The 26,184-nt window shown below is 55.3% G+C and overlaps 1 protein-coding gene across 2 annotated transcripts, besides 2 other annotated features; it reads right to left on the bottom strand.

The window, feature by feature from the left end:
- Positions 1-405: 405 nt before the first annotated feature.
- SIGLEC1 (sialic acid binding Ig like lectin 1) lies at positions 406-26,036 on the bottom strand. Of its 2 annotated transcripts, NM_023068.4 has the most exons (22): positions 25,906-26,036; positions 20,516-20,673; positions 19,783-20,142; positions 19,180-19,476; positions 17,261-17,527; positions 16,633-16,887; positions 14,778-15,077; positions 12,638-12,895; positions 11,234-11,569; positions 10,521-10,778; positions 10,022-10,324; positions 8,099-8,359; positions 7,657-7,968; positions 6,883-7,134; positions 6,298-6,567; positions 5,957-6,208; positions 5,339-5,638; positions 4,776-5,036; positions 3,398-3,700; positions 3,036-3,138; positions 2,591-2,663; positions 406-2,055 (listed from the first exon to the last, which is right to left on the bottom strand). In NM_023068.4, exons 2-22 carry the CDS (start codon positions 20,562-20,564, stop codon positions 1,996-1,998), a joined length of 5,130 nt encoding a protein of 1,709 aa, NP_075556.1. In that variant the 5' UTR covers positions 20,565-20,673; positions 25,906-26,036; the 3' UTR covers positions 406-1,995. The 2 variants fall into 2 exon arrangements, with proteins under 2 accessions (NP_075556.1, NP_001354018.1); NM_001367089.1 differs by lacking the exons at positions 2,591-2,663; positions 25,906-26,036 and having other exon boundaries at positions 20,516-20,670.
- Positions 11,294-11,793: an enhancer, noted in NCBI's record as "H3K4me1 hESC enhancer chr20:3678505-3679004 (GRCh37/hg19 assembly coordinates)". NCBI's record gives its function as "activates a minimal SCP1, AML or CMV promoter by ChIP-STARR-seq in primed H9 embryonic stem cells {active_cell/tissue: H9 hESC(primed)}" and the evidence as "EXISTENCE:reporter gene assay evidence [ECO:0000049][PMID:30033119]".
- Positions 15,078-15,372: an enhancer, noted in NCBI's record as "tiled region #3812; HepG2 Activating DNase matched - State 20:ReprD". NCBI's record gives its function as "activates a minimal TATA promoter and a strong SV40 promoter by Sharpr-MPRA in HepG2 cells {active_cell/tissue: HepG2}" and the evidence as "EXISTENCE:reporter gene assay evidence [ECO:0000049][PMID:27701403]".
- Positions 26,037-26,184: the final 148 nt, after the last annotated feature.

Genomic DNA, 26,184 nt, shown 5'->3' on the forward strand with positions numbered 1-26,184 from the left:
CTGCTTATGGTCCTCCCTACACCCTCTCTTCCCCAGACAGCCCCCAAACATCTGGCTGCATTTGACTTGCTCTCTCCCTGTCCCACCTCTGGATTTAGTCCATGTTCTCCACCCTCCCCACTGTCAGCAATGTAGACAAGACAAACGCTTAGTTCACGTGCCCACCTACTGCGTGCCATGCACGGGGCTGGTCATTGTGGGTGGCAAATGTGAGCAACACACGAAGCCTCAAGGAGCAGAAAGGGACACAAATCACTTCAGCGTAAGGTAATTTGTGATAAATGTCATGTAACTTGCAGCCCCTGGCCCCCTCCTACAGATGGTGTCTAAGAATAAACCCCACTAACATGTGACTCCTCTGTTCTAGCCCAGCTGTTTGGGTTGCAAGAAAGAGACTCACTCCAGTTGCGTCATAGGATGGAGTTTTATTGGGAGGACATTCTGGACGGGCTCCCAGCAAGAGTCTGGCAATGGAGCATGAAAATGAATGAGCCTGGAATGAGGGAGGGTGCGGCCTCGGCTACACAAAGTTCACCCGCCCCCAACTGCCTCCCAGCGTGTTAGCTCCTGTGGCAACTCCCCACTTCTCTCTCTGTTTTTCAACCCAAATCCTAGAGCAGAGGGCTCTTCGCTCCTCACACCATCTCCACCAGGCTGCAGGGGGAGTCACTAGCCCACTCAAGAGCTCTCTCCTGTTGGTCCCTGATTCGCAGGGGCACGTCATTCCTTCTTGGTAACTCATTCTCTTTAACAGCCCGACACAGGGTCTCCAGGAAAAGGACAGGAGCTCACACAGTCATGAACAGAGATGCATCTGGAGCAGGAATAAGGATGCTGACAACATCTGTGTCTGCCCTCCACTCTTGTAAGGGCCAGTAAGGTAGTACCCAGTCCCTGGGGGTAGGGGGGGTGGTGGTGGGAATGAGGGCATCTCTTCTTTCAGGGGCCAAATCTGGCACAAGGATGTCTGCTTAGGCAACTCCACTGCCTGGCATGCTCTCTCCCTAGGAAAACACCAAACCTTTTTTATTTCCTCAGTCTTAGTGTGAGAGTGATCACCTCTTCCAGGAAGCCCACAACCAGAATGGCCAGGGGCACACCCTGGCCCTCAGTAGATGGGCACTGAGACAAAACATGGCCTGCTGGTGGCATTCCCAACAATGTCAAAAGTCTCAGGGATGAGCTCACAGTTGGGAGTCCTTTGGAAGTCCAATTCCAAATGTCCTCTGGACTCAAAATAAAAACTACATTTCCCAGTCTCCCTTGTAGCTTGCAGTAGCCATGTGACAATACTCCAGCCAATGGGAAGTGAGTGGAAAAGTCCTGTGCAGCTTCTGAGTTGCGTCCACCATGGGCATGGGTGTGCTTCTACCTCCACTCTTCCTTCTTCTGGCTGGAGGGCATGTGGACAAAGCGGGGCCATGGTGAGCCTCACAATCAAAGGCATCATTTTAGGGATAGAGAAAAGGAAGATAGAAGGATCCTGAGCCCCAACATCATAAACCATCGTAACAGCCAGACTAGCGTGGGAGAGAAAAATAAAATTCTATCATGTTGAAGTCACTGTATTTGGTCTCTTGTTAGAGCAGGCTGACTGATACTCTGTTGAATACAGAATGCCTTGGTGAGCCTCTGAGGATGCAGGATGCTGCAATCCAACCAAAGTCCAGGGTGACTTTCGAGGAGAAGGATGTGAAAGGGCAGGGCTTCCTTTGAGGGAGAAATGGAGAGAAGGGAGGAGATCCAGAGAAGAGAGAGCGAGATCAGCTCAGTGCTCTTCAGTGTCCTCCAGGGTCAACACCCTCCTGGGCAGACCTCTCACCACCCATTTTTGGGGGGGCAAGAGGCTTGGGGCCAGGTCATAAAAAGTCAGATGTCACAGAGCTGTTTTCGTAGAGGCGGGCAGGACTCAACACTGCCTCATTCACATTCATAGGCTGGAGTCATCACAGATTCTGGCCACTTTCTCCTCCGGAGGGCAGGCAACACCACTGGTCAGCCCAGGGGTGGGGCACAGGTTGAGGTCTCACATGTGGCTGCATCAGGATCAATGAGCTTCCCACAGAGAAAACCCTGGTCACAGGAGGCCTCTGGGAGCCAGGGCAGGCCCCCAGGCCCCCAGCCTCAGGTGGGGTCCCAAGAGGATTGGTGGGAGTGTGCATGGCTGGAAGTGTGACTTGGAGCCCTGGCCTACCAGGTGAATCAGCTGCAGAAGGGACACACCACAGGGGAGGAGAAACTGACTTTCACTTCTGCCCAGGTGACGGGCAGGCTTGGGAGTGGGGAAGAGGCCTCAGAACAAAGGTGGGGGAGTCAGAACATACGTGTCTTGGAAATGGAGGGGATGCTGCCAAGTCCAGAAAGTCTCCCCTAGTCCTCTAAGCCAGCCGCCAGCTGACACAGGGATTCCCTCTGCCCCGAGCAGAACAGGGCTCTCCTATCTCCTGAGGGGCTCCTGGTTCCCTGCACACTCTCCCCAACCTCCCCTTGGTCCCAGGCACCATCCTCTAAATGACAGCAGTCTCCAGATGCCAGTTGGCACTGTGGGTTAGCTGGGTATTATATCTGCCCGTGTGTGTTGAATGGATACCTGCGTGGTCTCTTTCTGAAAAGCCATCTCCACCGAATTCTCGCCCATGCTCTGCTTACAAACACGCCTCCTTCTGCAAGGCCCGGAGTGGACTCAGAGAGCCTCTCCCCTCCCCACCTCCTGCCCCCATTCCTCTCCCGCTCCCCACAGGCTGGCTCCAGACCACAAGAGCGTGGGAACCTCATGGAGAGTGGGTGCTTCCTCTGTCTTCCTCCCTAGCCCTTGCTTTAGCACAGCCAGGGCAGAGAGGAGGAAAGAAGGAAACTACAGCAAGGAGGATTTAGGGACAATTCTAGAAGGGATTTCCAATTTGGAGGGGCAGTCTGGGAAGTAGGCAGCCTGTGAACTTAATAGGAGGTCCTAAAGGACCTGGGGGAATTTGGGGAGAAGACGAGGTGGGCTGCCTTACCCCAATCTTCTGGCCCACTCCCAGCTCCAGACCCACCTCCAGGTGTAGCAGGCCCCCAGGCCCAACAGCAGGAGCAGGAGGCCCACCAGCAGTCCCAGGACCCAGAGCAGCTGCTGGAACTGATGCAGGCGGTGCAGGGCTGGAACACAGAGCGGGACTCAGAGCAGCCACAGCTGCAGGCCCCCAGTGCTTCCTTCCAAGGGGACCCACCCAAGATGACACCTTCTAACTTTTGCTTTATCGCTGAAGCTCTCCACACAAGGGTGCCCCGAGCAATCAGTTTAGAGTCGACAGGCAAATCATGCTGCAGCAGGAGGGATACAGGGAAGGAAGCCTTTGGGCCTAAGAGCTGGGCTTTTGTGCAGAGTGGCCTGGGAGATGGAGCCCCCTCCCCTCACCTCTGACCCCAAAGTAGGTGGAGGTAGAGGCAGAGCCCAGGACATTTGAGGCAGAACAGATGTATTCCCCTTGGTCGCTGGGCCTCAGCGCCTCGATGTCCACCCTCAGGGCATTGGGGGAAGCCAGGACATGGATGTGTGGCTCTGCAGGAGCACCCTGGGGCTGACTGGAGGCCACCAGTCGACTGCCAAGGTGGAGAGTCAGGCTGGCGAGCGGCTCGCTGTCCACTCGGCAATCCAGGATGCCCCGGAGGCCACCCTCAGGCTCCACGAAGACCATCATGGTGGGCGTCTTGGGAGGGTCTGTGGGGAGGAAGGGAGTGTGGTGATTGCAGACAATGACCACAAATTTCTCCCTCCCTGTACCCATGCACAGTGACTTTGCTGCTCCTCCCATTAAGAGGCAGAACCTATTTCCTCACTCCTTGAATCTGTGACTCAGTTTGACCAATTGAAGAAAGAAGTGATGTTGTGCAACTTCAGAGCCAGACCTCAAGAGGCCTTGTAGCTTCTGCTCTACTTGTTGGAACACAACAATGTGGGAAGCCCAGGCCAGCCTGCTGGGCACATGTGGCCCAACTGGCAGCCAGGAGCGTGCAGTCATCTGAGACCACTGGGCAACTGCAGCCACATGAGGTGTGAACAACAGAAGAACTCCCCAGCTGAGCCCAGCCCACAGAATTGAGCAGATAACATGACTTTTGTTTGAAGCAGTAAGTTTTGTTGTGGTCAATAGCAATAGCTGACTGATACAGTGTAGGCCTTGGTGAAGGCTGGAGTGGGAGACCAAGACTGATGAGGGCTTATCGTGTGCCAGACACACTCAGCACGCTTTATTTCTTTTGGTTTTTTCTCTTCTTTTCTTTTCTTTTTTTTTTTTTTTTCTTGAGACAGAGTCTCAGTCTGTCACCCAGGCTGGAGTGCGTTGTGGTGATCTTGGCTCACTGCAACCTCCACCTCCCAGGCTCAAGTGAGTCTCCTGCCTCAGCCTCCTGAATAGCTGGGATTACAGGTGTGTGCCTTCATGCCGTGCTAATTCTTGTATTTTTAGTAGAGACGGAGTTTCGCCATATTGACCAGGCTAGTCTTGAACTCCTGACCTCAAGTGATCCGCCCACCTCAGCCTCTCAAAGTGCTGGGATTACAGGCATAAGCCCCTGCACCAGCCATTTATTTCTTATACAACTTGCAGGATGAGGCGAATGATGTATTCCCCATTTTACAAGGTCACCCAACCAGACAGCGGGAGAGCCAGGATTCCAACCCAGGACTCAATATCCGTGAAGCCTTCACTCTTGGCAGACAGAAGAGGAGGAAGAACTGAGGTGGGCGTGTGAGATGTGGGGAGACTAAGGCGGAGGAGGGGGTTCACACTCACAGAGCACACGGAGCATGACTGGAGCAGAGGCAGCAGCCCCAGTGGGGAGCTCAGCCAGGCAGTGGTACATCCCAGCTTGAGCACGAGCCACGTGGGTGAAGGCGAGAGTGGGCACAGGCTCCGCGTGCAGCCGCCGGTCATTCCAGAACCATGCAAAGGTGGAGTTGCCCACAGGCCCAGGGCCACCCAGGAGGCGGCAGCTGAGGTTCAGGGCAGCGCCCTCAGGCACGTCCAGGCCAGGCTCTGCCACCACGCGTGCACCTGCGGGCGGAGGATAGAGAGATGATTGGGGATCTGTAGGCCTTGGGGGCTGGAGCCTCTGGGTGGGACCTCTGAGGGGCCTCTGCACATTGTGGGAAGGTCTCAGTCTGACTTGGTATAGGGCTTTCCAAGGTGGAACCATGCCCCCTCCAGTGGGAGCTGTGCCCCCTCCACCAGATTAGGCTTCTCAAGGCAGAGCTTTCTCAGACCAGACAGCCCGCTCTAGTGGGAGCTCCAGCCCCTCTCGTGGACTTGGACCTGAGAGCATCAGAGCCCCTCCTCCTCCCCTCTCTTCCACTCACCTTCTACCTGCAACCGCCCGATGGTGCTGATTGAGCCCAGCAAGTTTTGGGCTGTGCAAACATAGGTGTCATCACCTGCAGGCACATCTTGCACCTGCAGCCGTAGGGCGTTTCGGGCCACCTGGACATGGCCTGTCCCTGATGCCAAGCTGTGGACCCCGCTGCTCGTGGCCAGCACCTTGCCATCATGAGATAGGGCCAGCTCAGCAGGTGGCTCACTGTCCACAGTGCACTGTATCACAGCCATGGATCTGGCCCTGGAGTCCCGGAAGGAGGACAGGACAGCGTCCTGAGGGGCATCTGTGGGCAGGCAGGGCACAGATGGGGACCTTGCTTAGGCACCCTGTACTGCTCATTGCCTAGCTGCCTGGGGTTGGTCAGGCTGAGGCCTCTGGACCAATGGCCACTTCCTAGAAGTGACACCTTCCCAGGAGTCCTGTGGGCAGAGTGCTCCAGGCAGGGCTTATAGGACTGTCTCTTTCTCTAGCACCTATGTCCTCTTTCCCCAACTGCCCATTCCTGGGCCCACTGCAGTCCTTTGCCCACTCCCACCAGAGCCCAGAAGCACCCTCCACCACCCTCCTCCTGGGCAGCCCTGGCCAAGGACCCTCTGCTCACAGAGGACTTGCAGGGCAGCAGGACGGGAGCTGCGGGTGCCCTGGGCATCCTGGGCCTGGCAAGAGTAGGCGCCTGCATGAGCCCGCGTGGCCACCAGGAATGAGAGTGAGGCAGCTGGACCCTCCTGCAGCCAACGACCGTTGTGGTACCAAGTATAGAGTGTGGGTGCGTGGGCAGCAGGGTCCGCACAGGTCACTGTGATGGGGGCACCTTCAGGCACGGCAGCCTCCGGAGCCAGGATCACCCGCACACCTGTGCCAAGGAGGCCAGGATCAGCCGGGCCCAGCCGGACACCACAGTGGGCTTCCATCCCAGTGGGCTTGGCCTAGGCCCTGCCTTACCCTCCAGCCGCAGCTCCAGGGACGTGTTGGCCTGGCCCAGAGGGCTGCGGGCAGAGCAGCTGTAGAAACCCTCATCCCTGGGCTGTGGCCCTCGCAGCTCCAGGCGCAGGGTGTTGGGGACAGAGGCTGCTGTCGAGGAGGCCAAGAGGCGACCGGCGTGGCTGAGGGCCAGCTGGGCGGGCGGGCGGCTGTCCACAGTGCACAGTACCAGGGCCAGCTGCCCGCCATGGCTCTCCAGGAGGTAGGTCAGGCGCAGGTTGCGGGGCGCGTCTGCAGGGCATGAGAGGCTTACACGGAGTCACAGGCAGCAGCCTGCAGGAGGCCAGTTTGCAGGTGGCATTCAAACTCAGGAGGGCCCTGGCTCCCCACCCCTATGGCTCCCAACCACCCAGTCTGAGGCACTGCTCCTCTGCCCAGACAGGACTCACCCCAGCGCCCCCTACTCTTAATGCTCCTTGCCCAGTGCTCCACTAGCTACTGGGTACCGAGTTCCCCACTGGACACCTGTCGGGTTCCGGCCATGCCGTGATCCCTGTGGGCTTCTGTCATTCCTGTGAGTCCCACCCTGCATCCAGCCAGACTCACAGAGGACGTCCAAGGTGATAGGTCTGGAGAGGCGGGGTGCCCGACCAGGGGGGCCCACACCGCAGCGGTAGGAGGTGGCATCCCTGACTGTGACGTTGGGCAGGGGGATGGAGTGGGCATCCAGGCGCTGCTGCCCATCCTGGTACCATGTGTAGGTGAGCTGGGCCGGGTGAGTGGTCCACACAAGGCAGGTCAGGTTCACCAGCTGCCCCTCCCGCACGGTAGCCCCGGGCCACACCTGCACATTCACAGCTGGGGAGAGGGAGGGCACAGGACACCAGTGAGGGTCTTGAGGCTGTGTACAGCAGGCCACCTGTCTCCATGTGGGTGAGCTACTCCTACTGCTGGGGAGCCCCTTGGCCTTTGGGAGCCTTGGGTGGCCCACCTATAAATGTGGCTTAGAAGTCAAGCTTGGGAATAGCCCACTGGCTCCTGAGTGGTCCCAAGTAGAGTTCCACAGAGTCCTGGAAAGCCCTGAGCCCCTCCCTGACCCTGGCTGGGGGCAAATGGGGAGACCACAGACCTCCCCTCCCCTGCTGCACTTTCTCCTGAAATTCCCTGTTTAGTTTTATCCACTGGGCATACTTGTAAAATTTGGTGTTTATAAAAGGTTCTCCTAAGAAACTCAAGTCTGGAGTCCACCATCGTTAGGAAGGGTGGGAATGGGGACTATTCCCGTGCCCCCAGGCTTCTAGAACCCTGTCCCACCTCCTCTCCTCTTTTAAAGGACACACACACACACACACACACACACACACACACACACACACTGACCTTGAGCGTCGAAGTCAGCTGAGGCCGAGGCCTGGCCCAGGGTGTTGGAGGCCTCACAGATATAGACACCCTCATCCTCCAGCATAGCCCCGTGGATCTCCAGACGCAGTGTGTTGGGGGCCACAGCCACATGCAGCCTGGGAGAGCTGCCTTCGGGTCCCCCCACACCTTGTAGGGTGGAGGCCACAAGGCGATCCCCGTGGAGCAGCCGCAGCTGGGCCGGAGGGTCACTGTCCACACGGCACAGGAGGAGGCCCAGTCGTCCAGGGCCTGTGTCCATCAGGGTAGTGAGTGTGACGTGGCGTGGGGCATCTACACAGGGTGGGGAGTGGTCAGGACCCAGCCAGGGGGGTCCCTCATCCAGGGCTCTGTCATGTGACACAGCCCAGGACTGGGGGACTGCATTCCTTCCCCCACACCTGGATGGGACAAAAGTCCTTACAGGACACGTGGAGGCTGATGGGTGCAGCTAGGCTCGTGGTGGCTGAGCCTGGGGCCTGGGCTTGGCAATGATAGGCCCCAGCTTGTGTCAAAGTTATGGCTGCAAAGCGGAGCGTGGCCGAGGTCGACTCCTGGAGGGGCTGGCCATCCCGATACCAACGATATGAGGTCCCCTCTGGGACTCCTGTGTGTACCTGGCAGCTCAGGACCACAGCCTGGCCCTCTTGGAGCTCAGGTGATGGTGACACCTGGACCCAGGCTCCTGCAGGGGAAAACCAAGAGCAGGTGAGGGCTCTCCACCACACCTCTCACAGTCTGGGACCATGTGCGTGTCCACCTAGGACTACACAACCCAACCCCATGTGCTGGAGCCGCAGCCCCTTCCAGACCACCGCCAGGGCCCACTCAGCCCTATGCCTTGGCCCCTCCTGCTCCCCACTCTCCTGCACAGGCTCCATCCTGGCATTTACCTCCCACCACCTGGTGGGATGGTTTTACTGTGTCAGTCATATCTCGCCTACCAAAGCGTAAGCCTTATGGGCACTGGACTTGTGTGACCTGTAACCCCAGTTCCAGGCACTGTGCCTGCATGTGTTAGCTCCTGACAAATGTTGGTTCAACCCATAAAGTACTGAAAAGGGAGGGATTTAGATCATCCCGGGGCCATTGTCCTAACTAGGATCTGGACTCAGCATGGGTGACCGAGGGCTTGGAAGGGAATGTTAGCAGCTATGTTATCTTGAGCGCTCTCGCCAGGCCAGCCCTGCATCCAGACTCCAGGCCACAAGAGCACAGGACCTGGGGACCAGGCAAAGGGCAGCTCCTCAGTGGCCCCTGGGTGTGAAGCAGGAGAACCCCAGGTTGCAGGGAGTGAGATGGAGGGACAGCTGGAATGCTAAGCAAGAACACAGACCATGCCTGAGACCACAGCTAGCAGGGTCATGCAACTGGGGAAAAGCTCCTAAAACTCAAACCTTCAATTTCTTCCTGCGAAATAGGTATGCTAAGTAAGAAAAGATACACAGAACCAAGGCTCAAAGTAAATGTCCCAAAATTGGTGCTGTCGGTCACCGTGGTGGAAGAAACACTCATGTTCCTTTGACCTTCGCATTATGGGCATTATCTTTCCTTTTTCCTGGTTTATTTGTTTAGGGAGAATTTTTTTTTTTTTAAGACAGAGTCTCACTCTGTCATCCAGGCTAGAGTGAAGTACAATTTTGGCTCACTGCAACCTCCATCTCCCAGGTTCAAACGATTCGCCTGCCTTAGCCTCCCGAGTAACTGGGATTACAAATGCCCACCACCACACCTAGCTAATTTTTGTATTTTTAGTAGAGTGTTGGCCAGGCTGGTCTTGAACTCCTGACCTCAAGTGATCCGCCCGCCTCAGCCTCCCAAAGTGCTGGGATTACAGGCATGAGCCATGGTGCCCGGCCTGAGGGAGGATTTTTATAGAGACTATATATATACACACACACAAACACACACACACACACACACACACACGTATGTGTATATAAATAAAGAATATGAATATATTATGCATAAGAATACACATAATGTATATTTGTATGTGTATATACTCATACATAAACATATATGCATAATATAAATATACATATGTATGAGAATGTTTACTATGTAACAAAATTATATGATCACAAAACAAGTTATTTCAGAAAGTGCTCCCACCAAGCAAGCCACTCTGTGAATTGCCATTGCCTCCTAGTGGCTGCTGCAGTTATTACAGGTGAAAATATCTAGCTGGAGGCAAAGGGAGGCCTTCTGCTGGCTGGAAACTGCCCTTACCAGGACTGAAAAAGACATATTTCTGCACAAAATTCACAGCACCCAGCCCAAAGTCTGACCAGAGTAGTCCCCAGGGCATCAGAGTCTACCATATCTTCAGAAGACTGACACTCACCTCGGACCTGGAAGAAGAGTGAGGTGTTGGATGATCCAAGAACATTTGTGGCCTCACAGCGGTAGCTGCCAGAGTCCCCAAGGCCCAGTTCTCGGACCTCTAACTTCAGGGAGTTGGCCTCAGCTTTAGCCTGGAACCGACCATGGGATGGGACCTGGGGACCCAGGCTGGTGGCCAGGAGGTGCTCCCCATGGAACAAGGCCAGCAAGGCCAGGGGGCGGCTGTCCACAGTGCAGATGAACAGAGCCATGTGGCCCTGGCCCATGTCTAGGAGGGCTGACAGCTTTGGACGGTCCGGGGGATCTGCAGGAACAGAGGGAGCTGAGGCCACCCAGCCTAGCTCACCACATTACAACTGCCACACTATGTCCCCCACCTCCTGCCACACACACAGCCTAAGCCATGCTCTTTCCTCCCCAAACCCCAGCCCGGCCCCTGCTTCTCCCCAGACCACCCCTCCACCCTCCAAGTCCCCAGGCTGCCCATGCCAGTCACCCACAGAGTACACTCAGGAGCACGGGAGTGGAGAGCTGGGCACCAGCCTCAGTCAGGATGCGGCAGGCGTAAAGGGCAGCATCAGTTCTGGCCACGGGCAGCAGTGTCACGGTCTCCAGGGGACCCTGGGCCCACAGCACCCCATTTCGGAACCAGGAGAAGTTAGCAGGGCTGCCAGCAGCTTCCCGGCTCACGTTGCAAGTCAAGTTGGCTTCTGTGCCCTCCTGAAGTGTGTGTGATGGTGCAATGGCCAGGACAGTGGCTGGAGAGCAGGCGGCACAGCTTACTGACCACCCCCGGCCCCCAGGAGCCAGGGGTCCAGCCGCCCAGCCTGGAAGGAGCAGGAAGGAGGCCCCCTGGGGTGCCCACAGGGTTGGGGAGAAAAGCAAGCTAGCTCACAGGGCAGCCTAGGAGAAGTGGGCCCTGGGGACTGTGGGGGCCCTGGGCAGAGAGGGTTGCAGTACAGGGAAGGAGGACAAGGCAGCCCAACTGTCCCAGCTGGGGAGTCCTTCCTCAGAGACCAGCTGTGTTGCCTATCCCCGGCCTGAACAGAGATCATGGGAAGGAGCAGCTCCGCTCTTCCTGAATGTGGAGGAGGGCAGCGAAGGGCCCCCACTGCTGCACAGAGTGGTTTTGCCTGATTAGATCCTCCTCGGAGCAGAACAGTCCAGAGCTCCAGCCCCTGCCCCCAGGCCACCCATTCCCTGCCTGACTCACCCTGGCCATTGAAGGTGGCTGAGGTGGAGGCGTTGCCCAGGGCATTGCTGGCCTCACAGAGGTACAAGCCCTCCTCTTCCAGCAAAGGGTTGTGAATCTCCACACGCAGCAAGTTGGGGGCTTTGGTGACCTTCATGCGTGGGGAACAGCCCCCACAGGTGCTGCAGCCACCCCCTGATGGCAGGGAAGTGGCCACAACACGGTCCTTGTGGAGCAGCTGCAGCCTGGCGGGGGGGTCGCTGTCCACACGGCACAAAAGGAGGCCTCGCCGTCCAGCCCCGGCCCCAGCGGCATCAAGGTCCAGCCTGGTGGTGAATGTTGGTTGTCGAGGGGGGTCTGCAGGGAGGAAGAACATGGGCACTCATCCCACGGATGCTCCAGGGCCCCACAAGCCTGGCTAGGCTCCCAGAATACACTGGACAAAGGCAGATCCCGAAGGCTGCCCCAAGCAGCTGTGCAGACTGTGCACTGCACAAGGGCAGCCAGACCAGGGTGGGTGGAACTCAAGCTAGGCTCATGCTCCTCAAGCTAAGCTGTGCCCTGATGCCTACTGAGTCTTCCCAGAAGAAGGAGCACCATTTTCTAGCTCAGACAAAGGTGCTGTATGGGCTGGCTGCCACCTTGCATAAGTCCCATCTGCTGCTGAGCAGGGTGCCCACCTAGCAATCCCTGGGGGTCATGCTGTCTGCTCCCACCCTGCACCCAATGCCTTACCACGGAGCCTCCCCTCAAGATCTGCCCTGCAGCTTATCTGTGATCTCCAAGCCAGCTCCTGTGATACTAGCGAATGCATAGAATGGCCTCTTCCTGAAGGCTTCTGGAGACAGTTGGCCAAAAGAGAGCAATCAGCCAAGGCCCCCATGTGATCTCACTCAGACACCAGAAAACTTTGCAGAGGCAGCTGCCCTCTGACAGTTCCGGGACGTGGCTCCGGCACACATGTGTCAGGGGAAGCCTCTGGAATCAGGCCCTTGGTCTTACACGGAGCCTCCCCGCTTGGCGGATGCAGAGGGGCTGTCTGTCCCTGTGCTGAGGGGCTTTGCCTTGGTGTCTATGGGAGCCCAGCACAGCCTGTGGGGCATGTGCACAAATAGAGGAGTGTGGTGTCCCAGGGCTCACCCATGAGGACAAAGCATGGATGTGGTGCCCATGCTGAGCTTGAGGCTGGGACAGAGGAGCCCACAGGGCTGGCATTGGAGGGTAAAGACATGGGGAGGTAGAGAAGGCCCCAGCCTCATTTCCTAAACTTCAGCCCCACATGGAAAGACCCACTGTGGCCAGGTCTGTGACCCAGCCCTCCCGATATAGACCGTGGGGCAGGGCAGGACAGGGCTGGGGGGCCTAGAGGAGGTGGGGTGGCTGGTGGGTCCCGGCAGGAGGCTGCAACAGGTGGTGGCTGCTCACAGAGCACAGTGAGAACAGCTGGCGAAGAGGGGCCACTGGCACTGTGGCCGTCCCGGGCCCGGCAGTGGTATGAGCCGGCGTCAGTGCTGGAGGCCGCGGGGAGCAGGAGGCTGCTGCCGGGACCCTCGTGAAGCAGGGCTCCATTCAGGTACCAGGAGAAGCGGGCATCAGGTGTGGGGCTTAGGCCGCTTCTGCAGCTCAGTGTCACTGCCTGTCCTTCCACCACCTCGGCTGCCGGGCTGATGAGGAGACGGGCGGCTGCGGGGAGAGGAAGAGGCTGGGAAGGGTCCCTCCTCTCAACCCCACATGCTGCCCTATATAGAAAGCCTTCCAGGGTTCTCCTTTCCCCACACTACTGTAGGTAGCTCTGGGCTTTGTGGTGCATCAGGAGGGTTTGCCCTTTAATGCCAAATCAGATCTATTGGTAGTAGATGGCTGCAGCATGGTTGAAGATTCAGAGCCAGAGCCCAGGCTTATGTCCAACACCTGGCTTGGCTGGGCATGGTAGCTCATGCCTGTAATCTTAGCACTTTGGGAGACTGAGGCAGAAGGATCGTTTGAGGCCAGGAGTTCCAGACCAGCCTAGGCAACATAGTGAGACTCCATCTCAAACAATTTTTTTTTTTTGAGACTGAGTCTCACTCTGTCTCCCAGGCTGGAGTGCAGTGGTGTGATCCTGGCTCACTGCAACCTCTGCCTCCCAGGTTCAAGCGATTCTCCTGCCTCAGCCTCCCAAGTAGCTGGGATTACAGGTGTGCCACCACACCCAGCTAATGTTATACATGTAGTAGAGATAGGGTTTCACCATGTTAGCCAGGCAGATCTCGAACTCCCGACCTCTGGTGATCCACCCGCCTCAGCCTCCCAAAGTGCTGGGATTACAGGTGTGAGCCACTGTGGCCAGCTTTTTTTTTTTTTTTTTTTTTTTTTTTTTGAGACGGAGTCTTGCTCCGTCAGCCAGGCTGGAGTGCAGTGGCGCAATCTCAGCTCGCTACAACCTCTGCCTCCCAGGTTCAAGCAATTATCCTGCCTCAGCCTCCCTAGTAGCTGGGACCACAGGTGTGCGCCACCACACCCGGCTAATTTTTGTATTTTTAGTGGAGACGGGGTTTCACCACGTTGGCCAGGCTGATCTCAAGCTCCTGACCTCAGGTGATCTGCCTGCCTCGGCCTCCCAAAGTGCTGGAATTACAGGCATGAGCCACCATGCCTGGCCACAATTTTTTTTTTTTAATTAGCTGGGTGTGGTGACATGGGCCGTAGTCTCAGCTATTTGGGAGGCTGAGATGGGAGGATGGCTTGAGCCCAGGAGTTTGAGGCTGCAGTGAGCCATGAACATACCATTGCACTCCGGCCTGGGCAACAGAGCAACACCCTATCTCAAAAAACAAAAAGAAAAACCTGGCTTGATCAATTAGCTACCATGCCCTCAGGAGGAGGGAAGGACAGTGCACATACCGAAAGTTGGAAGACCGTACTTTTCTTTTTTCTTTTTCTTTTTTTTTTTTTTTTTTTTGAGACAGAGTCTCACTCTTGTCACCCAGGCTGGAGTGCAGTGGCGCTATCTTGGCCCACTACAACTTCCACCTCCTGGGTTCAAGCGATTCTCCTGCCTTAGCCTCCCAGGTAGCTGGGACTACAGGAACTCACCACCATGCCCAGCTAATTTTTGTATTTTTAGTAGAGATGGGATTTCACCATGTTGGCCAGGATGGTCTCGATCTCTTGACCTCGTGATCCACCCACCTCGGCCTCCCAAAGTGCTGGGATTACAGGAGTGAGCCACCACGCCCAGCCAGAAGACCCTACTTTTCTATTTGGCTTCCCACATCTGACTGCTAGCATAGAGCCTGCTCCCAGAGTTTCATAATTAAAAAACAATGAATGCTTCTGAGGGACTCTCCAAGTTTAGGGTCAGGGTAGGTGCAAAAGGAATGATGTGACCTGTTGTGTTTCCCTTTTTCCCTTGACTTCCAGGAAGCTCTGCCGTTGGGTCACTGCACAGCCCCTGTCTTTTATGTGGCGTAGCCAGTTAGCTCAGTCCTGCGGTTGAGTCCACTAGACTTCTAGAAGGAACAGACTGGAGCAGGCTCCTCCTCAGGCTCCCTCCACTCTCCCTGGCTGCCAGTGCCCATCTTACCATTGGCATGGAAGTCCAGGGTGGAGGTTGCATTTCCAAGGGAGTTGGTGGCTGAGCACTTGTACTCCCCACTGTCAGTTTCCTCCAGGTCTCGGATCTCCAGGCGCAGGGAGTTGGGACCAGAGGTACCACTGAAGCGTGGGCTGTGATCACTGTCCCCGGAGGTGGAGGCCAGGATATGACCCCCATGTGACAGCACCAGTGTGGCCAGGGGCTCACTGACCACAGAGCAGTGAAGGATGCCCACAAGTCCCGCCTGGGTCTCCAGGAAGGCTGTCAGGACTGGAGTGAGAGGCGGGTCTGTGTGGAGACGAGAGGTGGGCCTGTCACCCTCAGACAAGGGCATTCCCTGGATACCCTGATACAACCCGTGACCTCTGCACCGCTTTGTCCCACACTGCCCTGTGAGAAGGGGGTGATCCCAAAGTGCCTGAGTGCCTGCTGAATACACTTTTGTCCTTGGCTGGGCTGGGTACGTCACTCTGTTGTCCCAGTCAGTGTTCAAGGCCACCCTGCAAGTGGGGATAAAAGCCCCACTTCAAAGATGAGAAAACTAATAGAGAGACCTGGTGAGGGACAGCACCTCAGCCAGGTGACCAAAGTGAGCATCATCAGCAATGGGACAAGCTGACACAGAGTGCCTCCTGACAGGGCAGAGCAGCATGTCCGCGGCCTTCCCACCCAGAGGGCATGGTCTCAGGCCATTCAAGTCAGGCAAATGTGGAGTGAGGGACCTCCTCAGAACAGCAGGCCTGCACTCTGCAAGTTTCAATGTCAAGAATGACAAGGAAAGACTGAGGAACAGTCTCAGACTAACGGAGAATGAAGAGACGCAACGACCCAATGCAATATGTGAACTGTGATTGTATTCTGGACCAGAAAAAAAATGGCTACAAAAGACAGTATTAGGTCCACTGGTAAAATGTGAATATAGATTATAGCTTAGATAACAGTCTTCTATCAGCCAGGTGTAGTGGCTCATACCTGTAATCCCAGTACTTTGGGAGGCCGAGGTAGGTGGATCACGTGAGGTCAGGAGTTCAAGACCATCCTGGCCAACATGGTGAAACCCTGTCTCTACAAAAACACAAAAATTAGCCAGGCAGGATGGTGGGTGCCTGTAATCCCAGCTACTCAGGAGGCTGAGGCAGGAGGAGAATCGCTTGAGCCCCAGAGGCGGACATTGCAGTGAGCCAAGATAGCACCATTGCACTCCAGCCTGGGCAACACAGTGAGACTCCATCTCAAAAAAAAAAAAAAGTCTTCTATCAATGCTAATTTTCCTGATCATGATCATTGCATTGTGGATATGTAAGAGAATGATCTTAGGAATTTAGCGGTAAAGAAGCCTCATGTCTGCAACTTCAGGAATATAAATATGTAGGTAGATACATAAATAACATATGCATATGTATATAGAGTGTCCATATATGTATAAGTGCACATGTCCACATAGAGTGGATGTGCATACACACAAGTGCACCTGTATATATGCAAGTCTATATCCATACATTTATATGTATGTATGTGCGTGTGTGTGTCTGTGTAGACAGCGAGAAAGATTAAGCAAATGTGCCAAAATGTTAATAAATGGGAAATCTAGGTTAAAGGTATATAATCATTATTTGTCTTTCTCTGCAACTTTTCATAAGTTTAAACTTCCAAATATAAAATAGGAGGGAACTAGGGAGGTCAAAGCATTGCCCAGGTGTGCAGAGCTGGGACATGAGCTCAAGGCCACCTCCAGGTAAGTGGCCTTGAAGTTCCCATGCCCAGGACCCCAACCCTTCCTTGGGGCTCCACCATCTGGTCCTGCTCTGACTGTGTCCAGTGCCACCCCACCCTGGCCTCTTACGGTTGACTACCACGCTGACAGGGCCCGAGCGCTCGCTGCCATGGACGTTCTGCACCTCACAGAAGTAGAAGCCAGTATCAGCCCTAGTGGCCAAGTGCAGCCGGAGGGTATGGGAGTGGGCATCCTCCAGCAGGACATGGTTCTTGTACCAGCTGTAGCGGAGATCACTGGGTGCCTCATTGGGTGTGTTGCAGACTAGTGTCACTGTCTGGTTCTCCAGGATGGGACCTGCTGGGCTCACCTGGACCTCAGCCACTGCAAGGGCAGCATAGGGAGTGCTGGGGGGTCCCAGCCAACTTCCAGCCCCAGCCCCATACAGTCCCCGGGTCTCAGCCAATCAGCCTCAATCTCTGCACATCCTACACCACCCGCCTGCTGCTACAGGGGAGCCTCCTGGAGTGCTCTGCATCTCTTTGTCCTGCTCACCAGGATCCCCCTGACACCCCACCCTTCGTGGGGGTATTGTCACCTGTCTCATGGTAAGGCAGGGCTGGGACTCCACACCTGCATCCAGGAAGCACTGGGTTATGCCAGTTGCTGGCCCTGCCCTGCCCTGTCTCCCCTCCGTCCCTGAGGCCTGAGCTCCTCCCTATTCTCTGGCCAATACGCAACCTTCCCAAGAACTCACTGAAGATGTGGAGGCTGATGGGGGGTGAGACCAAAGAGCCCACGCCGTTCTCAGCTTGGCAGGTGTAGACGCCAGCATCGCTCCAGGCTGCCTGGGGCAGGTGCAGCACACCAGTCTTGGTTTGGAGGCGTACCCCATCCTTGAGCCACTTAATGGAACTGACTGCAGGGTAGCTGCTGTTCACCTGGCAGGTGAGTGTGACCAGCTCACCTGGAAGGATGTTCCTCCCCGAGGGGCTGAGGAGGATCTTCACACCCTTGGGGGCATCTGCAAGTCACAGTAGGGGGTATTGGGTAAGGTGCTTGGGGAGGGCAGAGGATGGCACACTTCTTCTTGCCCCCCTTTAAAAGCTCAGTCCTAAGGAAGTATGCCCAGATAAAACAGCAGTCCCCTTCAATCCTCACCCAGGGCATGCTCTGTCTGCCCATGTCCGTCCCTTTCCCGCCCCCTGCGCCTGATGCATTCCTATGCCCATTGAGAGCTGATCATGTGACGCTTGGCCAGCGTCCAGCCTACCCCACCAGCTGTAGTTTTCTGCTTCCCAATGCTGTCCATTGCTCCTGCTCTATTTGGGATGAGCTCCACACACAGGGTCATGGGTACCCCACTGCTAGCTTTAGTGGCCTGTGGAAGCTATTGGTAAGGGACCAACTACCTAGTGGGAGGGGGCCAAAGGCAGCATCAAACTAGCTCTGAAAATAGTTACCCAGTTTGTAAGCAAGAGGCCAACAACACAAAGAACTGCATTTCCTTAAATCTTGTTCCAAAGCCTCTCTCTGTGTATTCAAGTGTTTTATTCTTATTTTTTTAGAAAGAGGATCTGGCTCAGTCAGCCAAGCTGGAGTGCAGAGGCACAATCATAGCTCACTGCAGCCTGAAACTCCTGGGCTCAAGTGATCCTCCTGCCTCAGCCTCCCGAGGAACTGGGACTACAGGTGCAAGCCACCACATCCAGCTAATTTTTGTTTTTTAATTTTTTTGTAGAGACAGGGTCTCACTATGTTGCCCAGGCTGGTCTCGAACTCCTTGCCTCAAGCAATTCTCCTGCCTTGGCCTCCCAAAGCACTGGGGTTACAGGTGTGAGCCACTGTATCCGGCCTCAAGTGTTTAATATGTGCCAGGCACTCTTCTAAATCCTTGACCTGGGTCATCTCCTTTATTTGTTTTTGTTGTTGTTGTTGTTTTTTGTTTGAGACACAGTCTCACTCTGTCACCCAGGCTGGAGTGCAGTGGCACAATCACAACTCAATACAACTCCACCCCCGGGGTTCAAGCAATCCTAGTGCCTCAGCCTCCTTAGTAACTGGGATTACAGGCATATGCCACCACACCCGGCTAATTTTTGTATTTTTAGTAGAGACGAGGTTTCACCATGTTGGCCAAGCTGGTCTTGAATCCCTGGCCTCAAGTGATCCACCCGCCTCAGCCTCCCAAAGTGATGGGATTACAGGCATAAGCCACCGCGCCCGGCCCATCTCCTTTAATTTTTATCATAAATCTGTGAGACAGGAACCATCTATTGTTATCTTCGTCATAGACTGAGAAAACAGAGCCAGGCAGGAAAGGGATAAATCCCACCTCCCCAGCATCCTCCAGCACGGGGTAAATCCCGGGGCACTTGCTGCCAACCCTGAAGCTGCATGGGAGCTCCTGTTCCCCAACCCTTTGTGTCTCCCTTTCTCTGCCCAGCCTGGCCTCAAGGACAAGCCCCTTCGAAGCAGTAGGAGGTGGAGGGAACCATTTAACGAAGTCCTTGGGGCTCAGCAGTGTCTCTCCACTTGCCCTACCCTGGAGGCCCAGGAGCAGCCTGGTTTTGCATCAGGAGCAAGGGTTCCGTTTCTGTGGGCTGGAGAGGGGCTGGTTTCTGTCAGGAGCAACAGATGCGCTCAGCCACAAGGGTGTGTCCCCAGACAACTCACACTTCACTTGGAGGTGAATCTCGCTCTGAGCCCTGTGATTGGCCACGGAGAGCTGGCAGCGCAGGATCCGGCCGTGGTCCTGCCAGGACATGGCCATGTGGAGGGTCTCCAGGTGGCCGACGCCGGTGGGCTCAAACTTCTGGCTGTTGAAGGTGACAGAGCGAGCAGGGTCCTGGCCTTGCCACTGCAGTCTGACCTGCTCCTGCAGGCATACGTAGGGAGTGGAGCAGTTGAAGTCCACCTCTGTGCCCTCGAGAAGCTCCACCGGGGAGGCAATGGTGGGCACCCTGGGCTCCTCTGAGGACAGAGACAGCAGTGCTCAGGACCCGCTTTTGCCACCCCTGAGATCCCTCGCCCTGGAAACCCCAGCTGAGGAGAGAGCCCTGGGGAGGGGGCTTTTAGGGGAAGGAAAGACGCTTTCTACTCCAGCCCCACTTGGGTGAATACAAGGGAGAACCAGGCCTGGGCCTACGCCGGGGCTGGAACAGAGGCTGAGACTGGCTGGGGTTAGATTCAGGACAAGGGCTGGGGCTGAGAGCCAAGGGGTCCAGAAGCAGCTTGGGAATCCCTCCCGGGGGGCAGCCAGGCCACCCCACTTATCACCTGTTACTGTGACCAAGGTGCCTTTCACATCTGACCAGCGGTTGACCTCACTGATCTCGAAGCGGAAGTTGTAGGAACCAGAGTCCTCGGGCTGCAGGTCCTTCAGCAGCAGGTTGCACACCCTGTGCTCGGGGTTCCCCATGAACTCGGTGCGGCCGCGGAAGCGGGCCTCCACCAGCTTGGGGTCCGCCGAGTGGCTCACCACCTGCCGCTGGCCCGAGTAGTCGTAGTACCAGATGGCCGTGATGCCGTCGGGCACCTCCACGTCGGCAGGGAAGCTGAAGATGCAGGGGATAAGCAGGCAAGACCCCTTCACACCCTGCACGTCCTGGGGACTGGAGACGCCCCATGAGGCCTGGCCTGGGGGAAGAACGGCAGGGGGACAGAGGGGAGGGTGATACAGGCCTCAGGGTGCCACAGAGCCCTGCGACCTGCCCCAGAGAAGGTGCCCCAGCTGGGCTCCCAAATTCTGCCCTGCCCCGAGAAATGCACACTTAGAGCAGCCCTTCTCAGTGCCCCAGGGGTCAGTCCACTGCCCGAGGCTGCTCAGAGGTTTGGTAGGGTGGCTCGAAGACAGATGGCAGCTTCCTGCCCAGCTCCTGGCCACTGCCCGATTGGGCCCTCCCTTGACCTCAGCAACCAAACATGTGACCCAGGCATAGTCTAATCTGCCAAGGGCTGGACTTATGAAGGCTGGACCCTGGAAGACAGGCACTAGGCCCGCAAAGCTTACCTGCTGGGAAGAATGAGGCCAGGAGGAGAAGCTTGGGCAAGAAGCCCATAGCAGGTTCTTGTGCTGCTCCTGTTGCCTAAGAGGGTGGTGCGCACTGCGCTGGCTGGGCTCACAGGGGCCTCCAGGGACACCTCTGGGCACTTTAGCCCCAGCACCTGCTAGAAGTCCGAGCCTGTGTCCCCACCTCCTCTGCTGGCCAACCCAATAAGAGGGCAGGGCTCTTAAAGACCTCTGAGTCAGACACCAGCAGAGAGCCAGGAGGCCACGTTCCCAGCTCAGGCTGTGCCCAGGAATGCCCTCACTTGGTGGCCTGCCTCAGAAAAGCCTGTGTGTCCCTTGGCCCTATCCCAAGTTCTGCTTTCCCAGCCCCTCAAGGATACCACCCTAAGGCAGATGAACAGCTGTTTCTCCCTCTTCCCCACTTCCCTGCCCCCTCCCCACCACCCAAACCAACAGGAACTGGAGCCCAGAGATGCCCAGTTACTCACTCCAAGACACCCAGCTAGAATGATGGTTTCTTCCTGAGGCTTGTCTCCTACCACCTGCCTTACTAACTATAGACCATAATGGGGCTTTACTGAACTTGCCGAAGTGCTGCCTTTAACAGTCACTCCCCTGCTCAAAAACCTTCTGTGGCTCCCCATTGCCCGTGAGATGTGAAAAGTCCTCATTTCCTGCCCCCAGCTCTGTCCCCATTCCCTGCTCTCCGCAGACCCACTCTGGGGGCAGTTCTGTCTGCTCAAGGGCTCCCTAGCTGCCCAGCTCTATCTCCACCACAGATAATCTTTGCCTGCTGAAACCTTATTCAACCTTCAAGGAGCAGCATGAATTTGGCTTCCAGCTGGAACTTCTCCTTTGAGGTTCCTGTAGCTACCCCAGAGCTATCTCTATTTTCCTTGCCTTGTTTTTTACAGCTTGTGAGAGCCCATTTCTCAGGACCTAGAACTGAAGATATGTGCCCCATAGCAGTGCGGAGCCTACCAGGCATTCAGCAAACCCCTTAGTGACTAAGAGAGGGGTGAGGTCTTTAGGGGTTCAGAGCTGAGGTTCAGAGTTGGAGTGGGGAGGTGGCAAGGCAAGTCTAGGTTTGAAAGGTAGCATGAGAGCGCTGTGGAACACATACCCCACAAATATGAGCTCAATGTGTGCGGAGTGTACCATATCCAAAAAGGCAGGCCCTCAACCATGGAGTGCCCCTGGTCAGGGAGTGTCTAAGGGGTACCATAGACCTGAGCCCAAAAGGAAGAGATGCCAGAAACACATATAAGTGAAACTATAAAACTCTTAGAAGAAAACAGGTGAAAATCTTCATGACCTTGGATTAGGCAATGCTTTCTTAAGTATGAAATTAAAAGCACGAAAAAAAAAAATAGGTAAGTTGGACTTCATCAAAATTTAAAACTTGGCCAGACACAGTGGCTCATGCCTGTGAACCCAACACTTTGGGAGGCTGAGGCAGGAGGATCACTTTAGCCCAGGAGTTCAAGACGAGCCTGGGCAATACTGCAAGACTCTGTCTCTACGAAAAATTAAAAAACAGGCCTGTGGTCCCAGCTACTCTGGAGGCTGAGGTGGGAAGATCGCTTGAGCCCAGGGGAGGGGTCGAGGCTGCAGTGAGCCATGATTGCACCACTGCACTCCAGCCTGGGTGACAGAGCAAGACCCTGTCTGAAAAGAACAAACAACAGCTGGGTGCGGTGGCTCACGCCTGTAATCCCAGCACTTTGGGAGGCTGAGGCATGCAGATCACAAGGTCAAGAGATTGAGACCATCCTGGCCAACATGGTGAAACCCCGTCTCTACTAAAAATACAAAATTAGCTGGGTGTGGTGGTGTGCACCTCTAGTCCTAGCTACTCGGGAGGCTGAGGCAGGAGAATCACCTGAACCCAGGAGGCGGAGGTCACGGTGAGCCAGGATCACGCCACTGTACTCCAGCCTGGTGACAGAGTGAGACTCTTCTGTCTCAAAAAAAAAAAAAAAAAAAAAGGATATGAATCAAAGGACACTATCCAGAGAGTGAATAAAAGGAGGACAACCCACAGAATGGGAGAAAATATTTGTAAATCATTTATCTGATAAAGGACTAATATCCAGAATATATAAAGAATTCCTACAATGAACAACAACAACCACCAAAAAAACCATGAAATCCAACTCCAAAAATGGGCAAAACACTTGAATAAACATTTCTTCAAAGAAGATATATAACTGGCTGATAAGGACATGAAAAGATGCTCAACATCACTAGGCATTAGGAAATGCAAATCAAAACCAAACCACAGTGAGATACCACTTCACATCCGTTAGAATGGCTATTCACAAACAAACAAAGCAACACAGAAAACAATAAATATTGGTGAGGATGCGAAGTTGAAATTCTTGTGTATTGCTGGTGGGAATATAAAATGGTTCCGTCACTGTGGAAAACAATTGGGTCATTCCTCAAAAAGTCAACATAGGATTACCATATGATCCAGCAATTCCACTCCTAGGTATATACCCAAAAGTACTGAAAACAGGGACTCTAACAGAGTACACCAATGTTCACGGCAGCACTATTCCACTAAAAGGTGGAAACAGGTCAAGTGTCCATCAGTGAATGGATGTGGATAAACAAACTGTGGTATGTACATACAATGGAATATCAATCGGCCATAAGGAGGAATGAATTCTAACATATGTGAACCTTGAAAACATTATGCTCAGTGAAACCAGCCAGACACAAAAGGGCAAATATTGTAGGGTTCCAATTACATGAAATATCTAGACTACGTATATTCAGAGACTGAAAGTAGAATAGGATAGAGGTAACCAGGGGCTGCAGGGAGGGGGAGCTAATGTTTAATGATTGCTGAGTCTCTCAGATAATGAAAAAGTTCTGGAAATAGTGGTGATGGTTACACAATATTGCAAATGTACCTAATGTCATGGGGTGTACACTTAAAGACAGTTAAAACAGTAAATTTTACATTATGTATATTTCACCACATACACACCCATGTTGCCAACTTTGCAATCCTCCCTGGTCCTAAATGCTGACTTGGCCAAGTGAACGAGGAGGCTGGAAGTGGGGACAGGAAACTCATGACCTCCCAGCTCCCAGCCCATCCGCCTCAGGGGCTGGGCTCAGCAGATTCCAATGACTACCAGGGGTCACACCTGGGAAGGGGGTGAGCCGAGGCCCAGGGCCAGTCAGGCTGACCAGGTGGGACTTAGCCTGCTGCAGAAGGCAGAAGGTGCCCCAGCAGGGGGCACAGTACAGGGCGGGATTGGGACAGGAAGGACACCGCTCCCCAGGGGACCCAGCCCTCTCGCAGGCTGCTGGAGTGGACTGATCTGGCCATTTATGGAGGCCCAAGGGCTCATCTCCAGTTCTCTAGGAAGCCCTAGGCCTCCTCCTCTTCTGGGAAGATGCACCCCCAGCCTCCACACCAGGTTCTTGGCCACTGGAGAATGATATAGCTGGGGCCCTGGGACCTGGACACCTCACCGTGAAGAAAAGCAGCCTGCTGGGCACACTGGGGGTCAGATGTGTCCCTGGCCACAGGGGATGTCAGGGTCAGCTCTGCTATGGCCAGGGCAGCTATCTTGTCCCAGCTCCCCTGTTCCTCCCATTTGGGGTCCTGAAAAGGGCAATCGTGAACCTGATGGAAGAATGGTGGGGTTCTGGACACAGCGACCCTGGAACAGGGCGCGGGGGAGGACCCTTTCCAGGACCACTCCCATCACATAATGTAGAGGCCACCTATGCTTAGCCCGGCCCTAACCCCAAAGGGGTCAGCCCCACCGGAATCCAGCCTATTGGCTCAGCCTGTCACCACAAAGGCCAGCTTCAGCCCAGATAACTGTTCTGGAAACAGAAAGAGCAGGGACCGCTCAGAAAGGAGATCTCTGTCCCTGTTTGAAAGCCTGGAGTTGAGGGGACAGTGCCCCGCCCCCCGCCCCCCGCAACTTGGGTTGCAGCTGTGGCCTAGTGAGCACGCAGCGCCCCCTGGTGGTCGAGGGGGAATTGCGGGTCCCGGGAAAGGGGGCGGTGTGCCAGCAACAGGGAGCAGGCAGCTCTGCAGCCCTGAACCATCCCTCCCTTGGGTGACTCTTTTGGAAATCATTGTTCCCCAGACAGGAGGTTCCTGAGGTTCATACTTGGGTCTCCAAGTCTTGGGTGCTCTGAAGACAGGATTTTAAATCCCCACTCCTACTATTGGTATGTGTTGCATCAGGGTGGCTTGAGCTGGCCTGGTACACAGTGGGCACTCACGTTTGCTGCCTGTTTGAGACCAAGTGCCTCAGGAGGTCTTGGAGGGTTGGCTGGGGCCCCAAGTCCCTGACCTCTGATTCCAGAGGCCAAGTTTAGCTGGGGAAGAAAGGGCAGAGGCAGTTTCCCTATGGACAGCTAGGCCCGGGTGTAGGATTCAGTTTCTGTTTCCTGACACCAAGGCTTCTCCCCAACTTCCCCATTGGGCTAGAGAAGGAAGAACACAGGGTGACATGGCCAGCTGGAGGTTACTGGCCCACAGATAGGGAGTCAGGGTACGGATGGGCAATTCCTGGAGCAGATTATGGTCAAAATAGTGGAAATCCCCAATCACAGGCCAAATGTTTAATTCTCAGAGCCATAGAATCCATAACTAATGCTTATTGGCTTTGACATGGGCAGTAGAAATTTCACACTTCATTCCTTAATCTGGCTCTAAATGCTTCTGGCTGGAGTGCTCACTCTCCAAACTGTGCTGGACAGCACCAGAAGCCCTCCTGTGGACGGACGAAGTGGTGATGGATGAAGTGGAATTGTGCTGGGGTTAGAGTAAGGAGAGATTATCGTTGGGCTGGGCTGGGGCTGAGGTCAGGGTGATGATCAGGTTGGAATTCTGGAAGCAAATTAAGGCTGGGATTGGGGTGGACATTGAGGTTGAGTGATGGGTGGGGGTAAGGGTGAAGGTTGGAGTTGGGTGCAGGTGATGGTTAAGATACGGTGGAGGCTGGGTTGAGATGAGGATGATAGAGTCGGAGTTGTGGTTAGGGTTGGGATGATGGATGGTTGGGATTAGATGAGATGAGTAAATGGTTAGGGTTGGGGTGCAAGTGAGGTGAGGGTGAGATAAGGTTGGAATAGGGGCTGGGGCTGGGGCTGAGGTAGGGTCAGAGCAGGGTGATGGTCGGGACTGGGATTGGGATGCAGGTTGGAAGGATTTGGGGGTGGTGGAAGGGTTTCAGTTGAGTCCATCTTTGATTAGTGTCTTGGACTTGGGTTGGTTTGGGGTCCACCACTCGCACCCAGATGGAGCCCCCCCCCGACCCCTGCCCCTATCCCGCTCAGCCAGTTTCAGCCCAGCCCCGCTCCTAATGCTCCACTCACCCTCTGGGCCCAGGGACCAGGGACAGGGGTACCTGCTCCACAGAAGGAAGTGGCTGCGGCGGTGCTGGACCTGCGGAGAGGAGAACAGGAAGGACGGCCAAGAGCTCCTGGTGCAGCTGGCTCCCCAGGGCTCTGCCGGCTCAAGAGAGAAGGATCCCGTATCAGGGGCTGCTTCCTCTTTCCCAAAGCCTCAGCTCTACTGTCCAACCCAGAGGCTGGTCAGGGAGGCAGCTGCAGGCCTTGCGCAATGCCAAAACGGGAAAGACCTCCATAGGGGAAGGCCCTCGGCAAGGCCAGGGACTTAGGGACTC

Source organism: Homo sapiens, chromosome 20 (assembly GCF_000001405.40).
Source record: "Homo sapiens chromosome 20, GRCh38.p14 Primary Assembly".
Taxonomy (NCBI): Eukaryota; Metazoa; Chordata; class Mammalia; order Primates; family Hominidae; genus Homo; species Homo sapiens.